Source organism: Homo sapiens, chromosome 8 (genome assembly GCF_000001405.40).
Source record: "Homo sapiens chromosome 8, GRCh38.p14 Primary Assembly".
Lineage (NCBI taxonomy): Eukaryota > Metazoa > Chordata > Mammalia > Primates > Hominidae > Homo > Homo sapiens.
The window spans coordinates 130,740,857-130,748,030 of NC_000008.11; the positions used below are offsets into that span (position 1 = coordinate 130,740,857).

Sequence of the window (7,174 nt, forward strand, 5' to 3'; positions counted from 1 at the left end):
GACGGTATAGAAGATTCTAATAGAAGAATAGATAACATTTCTTAGAAATACATAGTATATCATATTTCTTCAAGGCAATCTTATTCATCCTCTTGGATTTTAAGCTGATGCTGTTCACTGACAAAGTAAATCAATTACTTTATCACAACTAGGTTTTATGTGAAATAATGCTATTATGGGAGGAAGCACATCCTCATGTTCCCATCAGGTAATTTCAGTTCTACTGCCCCAAAGGCAGTGTATTTGTGGAGCCCTTCAAGTTCCCCTCTCTATCTCCCCACGGGAAAGTGAGCAGCTCAGATGATTGGCGTGAATGTGGATAGCCTGATATCCATTGGTCTTCGTTATCTGTAGCAGAGACACTGCACTGAAAATGAAGGTAGCAGGAGTATTTCTTGCATGTTGTAAAATTGCCCTTGAAAACTCCCTGAGAAGGTCCCACATTGGTGACTAGAGATTGGGAATGCCTGCTAATACTGTCCTCAATAAGTTGAATAGAATCTTTGTTTTTTCCCTCCAGCTTTGGAACACCACGTTTCTTTAGTTGATTATCAAGTAAAGCCTTCAACTTCCATTCTGTGGCCATGTTGTACAAAGATGCCTATTAGGAAACTCATGTATCCACATTCAGTGGGGCCAGAAGCTCAGACTATTAAGAGATGGGGAAACCAGGATGCCAAGAGGGAACAGTAGATTGGAATAGGCCTCTGTGGAGGTCTCTGCTTATTGACAGGGGTGAAGTGGTGGAATTTCTCTTTTATTATCTTTGACATGGTCCAATAATTGAATGTTTCTAAATCAAATAAGGTGGGATTCCACCACAAGCATTAGTATTGTACTTGTCAAGTGCTAAGCACTTAGTAAATGCTAGCCTCACTAATAATTTCTCCATTACAGGCAACTGTCAAAATAGTACTCTGATGAGAAGTAGGTAGAATTGATTGAATCTGTCTTGTAGAATTGATTGAATCTGTCTTCCCTGTGGGGTGGCTGTTACTACATTTTTCTCTTAAGATCTTCAAACAGACAACAATAGATAGCTTAATGGTGGAGTCAATGGTTAAAAATTGTTCCAAATATTTTCAACATAGGAAAGAGTAGTCCTGCATGAAGGGCAACCCCAAGTAGAGACCTGTTTTTCTTTCTTCAGTCCAGAAGTGCTGGGCTGGAGTCTTGATGTGATTGATTAAAACGGAGAATGATATAAATATAAAATTTTATGAAGGGGATTTGTGGTTATAAAATTAAATTCTTCAAGAGCCACACATTCTTATTCAGAGTCCAAACTATTTGGAAAATATATAAATCTATCAATAAAAAATTTCCAGACTGCTTTCTTTGTTTAGCTTTGAACATGATTGGAGCATTGCTTTAAATAACTTGAAAAAGAAAAGGATTCTGACCAAGAGACTAAGTCGGTGGCTTGAGGGGGTTTACCCAGAGTTTCTGTCTTTGCACTTGTTGAACTGACTTTTAGCTCTTATTGATCTCATAGATTAAAGACAATTGATCATGTCTAAGAATAAGTAAAACTAGATCAATGCTTTGTCAGTTATGATGAAAGCATTCTGCACTTGAGAGTTGCAAAAATAAATAATTTGTCTCCTGTTATTGCAATAGCATCCTGTTCTTCATTTTCTTCCTTTTCTTTACCTCGAGCTAGTTTTTGTTGTTGTTGCCAGATCAGCACTTTTGCTGGACCATTGTTTTAATTCCATCCTATAGGAGTAAGGGAGGTTAGGGTTAGAAGAGAGCAGCTTGGCTGGCACTCCTAATTTTACAGTTAAAGAAATTGAGGTCCAAAAGGTTAAATGATGACTTAGCGAAAGAACCAGGATTCAAAATAGGATTCTGGTCTCATTTTGTTACATACTTTTTGCTGCATCAATGAAACAAACCTCTGAAATATAAGACCTAGCTACTATTCCTATTATCCTAGAGGAATAATAGAACAAAGACTAGCAGAGACTAACTGCAAGAAAGAGGTGGGTGCACAGCTTCCACCCAGCTTGTCACATCCCTGGTCTTTTCATAATTCCATACTACTTCATGGCCGATACATTGAAGCTTCATTTTTGGGCCACAAGCCATGGGACCATCTCAGAATGATGGTCTGTTGGCATGTGCTAATTAAGATTTCTCCTGAATGGGATTAATGCTGTTATAAAAGAGACCCCAGAGAGCTGTCTTGCCTTTTTCACCATGTGAGGACACAGTGAGAAAGTGTCGTCTTCTCTGTGAACCAGAAAGCAGGCCCACACCAGACACCAAATCTTCCAGCACCTTGATCTTGAACTTCCCAGCCTCTAGAACTGAGGAATAAGTTTCTGTTGTTTATAAGTCATCCAGTTTATGGCATTTTATAGCAGTCTAAATGAACTAAGATAGTTAATATTCCTTGACAAGAACCAAGATAATATTATTAATATCCATAGTTGATATCTTTGGAGTACTAATTTTGGGCCAGCTATATATAAATTGTACTCTTTTGGCCTGTATGATAGCCTTATGATGTAAGCACTGTGATGATCTCATTGACAGATAAGAAACTGAGGCATAGAGAAGTGAATAACTCCCCAAGGTCCCCCAGATGATAAATAATGGAGTTGGGATATAAATTATTTGACTGTCTCATTGGAGCAAATTCTTCCCCTCCCCTCCCTGCCAATATTGTGAAAGCAACCCATCTTCTTATAGATAATTGAGACCTTAGCAGGAGAGACCAGAGAAATGAGTCAGCATAATCCATTCTTCGGTTTAGAGGTATTTTTCCCCAGGGATCCAGTTTGGTGATTTCCAAGGAGCTTGATACCTACATTGTCAAAACTTAAAAGCTCGGCCAACATGTCCCTGATTTCCCAGTGACCCGGTACTGCTCAGAGCCATGCAATGTCTTCAAAATATCCAGCATCAAAAGATGTGGTAGAACGCCAAGATCTTATAGATGTTGCAAGGCAAACATGGAAAAATGACTCAGCTCTAAATAGCTAATGGTAGCCCAAGCATGGAGAAGCTTAACTTGTTTTGTTCGTTTAAAGGAAATAGCTTGCACTTCTTTCACCGTGGAAGGCACCCCAATTTGTTATAATTACTTGCCTTTTTTGCTAATGTTTAAGTTTGGGGAATTTTTTTCCCCTTCTCTGTATTCTCAAAACTTAGCACAGGGTATATATTTGTTAAATGAATGAATGCATGAGTCTTGGGTGTGCTCACATAATACCAATGATATACAAAGAAACATAGGCCAGCCAGGGGTGGCGGCTCATTCCTGTAATCCCAGCACTTTTGGAGGCTGAGGTGGGCAGATGGCTTGAGCTCACAAGTTCGAGACTAGCCTGGGCAACATGGTGAAACCCCATCTCTATAAAAAATACAAAAAATTAGCCAGACGTGGTGGCATGTGCCTATAGGCCCAGCTACTCGGGAGGCTGAGGTGGGAGAATCACCTGAGCTCAGGAGGTCAGGGCTGCAGTGAGCTAAGATCATGCCACTGCACTCCAACTTGAGCAACCAGAGTGAGACCCTGTCTCAAAACAACAACAGCAGCAACAAAAACCCAAAAAACAGAAAACAAAAAACCCCCCAAAATAAAAGACACAGGAAATTGGGGAGCTTTCAAGGCATCACTGGGTAGAACAAAGGGGAGAGAAGTGCAAACTCAGAATCTCTGGACACAGAAGACCCTTAAGCAGAGTGCTCTGCACAGTTGTCCCCCATTCCATTCGTGGGCCCCCTTTTATGTGTGCTCAACAGTAACATTTTGATGGACGTCAAGCTTCCAAAAGTCAACACCAGCTATTACCTTAGAATTATCTGTCACAATCTTGTCTCTACTCACAAGCTCTGGACTCTACATAGACATGACAAGACTTGGTCGATGCTGTGGAATAAACTGATTGTTAATTGCTGGTAGAAGCAAACACACACACACACACATGCATGTGTGCACACACAAACACACAGTCAACAGAAGAAACTGCAAATAACCTACAATCTGTTTATCTCCTTCAAAGTTCTTTGAGGCTTTCCAGTTATGGTGGTCTGAGGTGGTAGATGGATCCTTTTGGTCAAAAACAAGTAGAAAACTGGAAAAAATGATTTAAAAAAGCCATTCAGGGGTTTAAAAGTTGACTACAGGCATAACAGAAATTAAGGAGCATTTCCTTTTTCATAACTTTATTGAGATATACATACCATGATATTCACCTGTTTAAAGCAAATGATTCAATGTTTTTGTGTGTGTTCATGGAGTTGTGCAAGAGAAGAAGTGCTTATGTTTGAAAACCTGTACACCTGAGGAGCAGGGTAGGGATCTATGGCCTTCTTTCCTGGAGCTACTCCCTTTACTTCCCAAGCTTGGATCTGGTCTTGAATATCCACAGATTTTCTGAAAAAGGGGTCCATGCAACACAAGGCAGGGCCTGAGCACCTGCACTTTGCCAGTGAAGAGCCACCAACTTGGTAAACTAACAAGGAATAGGCACCATTATTTTATGGGCCACAAAGAAAGAAAACTGCTGCCAATTAAACCTGACCTTGATTGTACAATGCATCCCAATTTCAGAGATGTTAAAATGTGAGTCTTAGAATGGTTGGAATATGATATGAGTAGGAGCAAACGGGTGTGTGGTTGGGATCACACGAGGTGCAGATAAGGATGACTTTGAATGATGTGTCGGACAGAGACAGATTTGATGTCCAGTAAGTGGTTTGAAGCTTAGGAGAAACCTTGGCATGTGGATACAGATTTAGGTGTGTCAGCCTACAGGTGGCATTTGGACCTGTGGGAGAGGATGTGATGGCCCAGGAGGGTGTGGAGAGCAGGGTCTTTCCACCATGGCACCATTGATAGTACTGTGTTGTCGGGCCTCTTTTGTGTACTGTAGGATGTTTAGCAGCATCCTGGCCTCTATGCCTGGATTCTGCTAAGCAAACCCCACCCAACTGTGACAACCAAAATGTGTGTAGACACTGCCAAATGTCCAGTGTTTCTATCCCTTGACACCCCTTCTTGTCAAAAACTACTGTTGTAGAGGGAGGCAGGAAGAGGAAGAGGAAGGATTCAGGGGATATTAATGTTTAATACACGTTTAATAATGAATACACAGACTAAGAAGAAATGTGATATTGATTAAAGAATGGTATGCCTAGTTGTTTTTGTTTTTCCCTTCTATTTTTCCCCTTTGATCATTTTAAATGGCATAAGTTCTTTGGCCTTGCAGATGTTGAGCAAGGAGTGGTGGGTTTAGGTGGTAATATGGGTTCTGCAGTTAGAAATTCAGGGGTCATATTCTAAGCTTCACTAGTCCCTAGCTGCGTGGTCTTGACCTCTTCCTGGCTACATGGCCTTGACCTCTTCCTAGCTGCATGGCCTTGACCACCCCTTGGCTACATGGCTTGACCACCCCTTAGCTGCATGATCCACAGGTCAGATTCTGTCTTCTTTTTCTTCTCTTCCTCCCTCCCTCCCTCCCTCTCTCCCTCTTTCTCTTTCTAACTCTTTTGTTCCCAAGTATTTATTGAGAGCCAATCCAGTTTAGAAGGGGAACCCATTAAGAATGATGTTACAAAGGAATGTATTATTCAGAATTGTTATAGATTTTATGAAGGGAAACTGCTCTGATGGCACTGAAAATGTGGGCGAAGGATTACCTAGGTGCTGAGGCAAGAGACTGAAGGCACGAAATGTTCAGTATGATAAAGAAAATAGTTAGAATAAGGATAGTCATAATACAAATTAGATACAGAGATGATCATGGACATTATCAATCATTAATATAAACATTAATCATTAGCTTTTAATATTACTCTTTGTTGTATTACTAATATAACAAATAACCGGCAGGTATAGGGTCAGGTGCTGAAGGGATATTGTGAGAAGTGACCTAGAAGGCAAGAGGTGAGCCCTCTGTCATGCCTGCATAAGGGCCACTTGAGGGCTCCTTGGTCAAGCAGTAATGCCAGTGCCTGGGAAGGCACCCATTACTTAGCAGACCGTGAAAGGGAATCTCCTTTCCTTGGAGGAGTCAGGGAACACTCTGCTCCACCAGCTTCTTGTGGGAGGCTGGATATTATCCAGGCCTGCCCACAGTCATCTGGAGGCCTAAAGCCCTCCCTGTGGTGTTGTGCTTCAATGGTCACTTTCCTTGTCCACTTTCATGTTCCTCCCATACTTCTGGTTACTCTTTGAAGTTCGTAGTAGATAGCGGTAGAAGAAATAGTGAAAGTCTTAAAGTCTTTGATCTTTCTTACAAGTGCATAGAAGAAAATGCTGACGTATGCTGCCTTCCCTCTCTGCTTTGGCTACCTAGAAGGGAAGGGCCACCTGTCCCATGATCACATGACTTGCTTGACCTTATCAATCACTTGGATGACTCACCCTCCTTACCTTGTCCCCCTTGTATTGTTTGCAATAAATGTCAGCGCGCCCAGCCATTCTGGGCCACTACCGGTCCCCTCATCTTGGTGGTAGTGGTCCCCCGGGCCCAGCTGTTTTCTCTTTATCTCTTTGTCTTGTGTCTTTATTTCTTACAGTCTCTCATCACTGCACATGGGGAGAACACCTGCTAAGCCCGTAGGGCTGGACCCTACAGAAAATCTCATTTAAACCCCTACCCCACAAAGAGCCTATAATCAAGTGACATTGACACCCCTCAGGGATGATCCTTTGGGGGACCAAAGTTCTCATGGGTTCTCTGTCAGTGAATTTCAGAGGATATATTTCATAGGTAAGAGGGAAGCTTTGGAGATGGATTGTCCTGCTTATTAGCTTTGTGACATTGGCTAAACTCCTCAGTTTTATCTGTCATACTGGGAAAATATCATCCACCTAATAGGATTGTTGGGAGGAATAAATAAGATAATTCAAGAAGAGGGCTTAGACCAATTCCTAGAGTGTAGTCAGTGCCCAGTAAATGCTGTGGCATCTGGAAGGATCTTAGACCACATGACCAAGGAGTGGGGTTGGGAGTAGGGTGGCAGGCAGGGAACAACTTAAACAACAGGAATGGGATTGCATTTCTCAGCAGAGCCCATGTAATGGGACTCTTCCTGTAGCTAGTGATCCAGGACAGAGTGTTCAGAGGTAGGAGAGTGTGATGGGCCAGGAGACAAGGGAGGAGAATCCATCAAGACAGATGCAGGCCATGCTGGGCTATGTCAAGTGCAACAACAG

The 7,174-nt window shown here is 41.9% G+C and overlaps 1 annotated feature.

Moving 5' to 3' along the window:
• Positions 6,395–6,581: a silencer, noted in NCBI's record as "fragment chr8:131759497-131759683 (GRCh37/hg19 assembly coordinates)". NCBI's record gives its function as "represses an EF-1alpha promoter that drives an FKBP-Casp9 reporter gene in an ReSE screen in K562 erythroleukemia cells {active_cell/tissue: K562}" and the evidence as "EXISTENCE:reporter gene assay evidence [ECO:0000049][PMID:32094911]".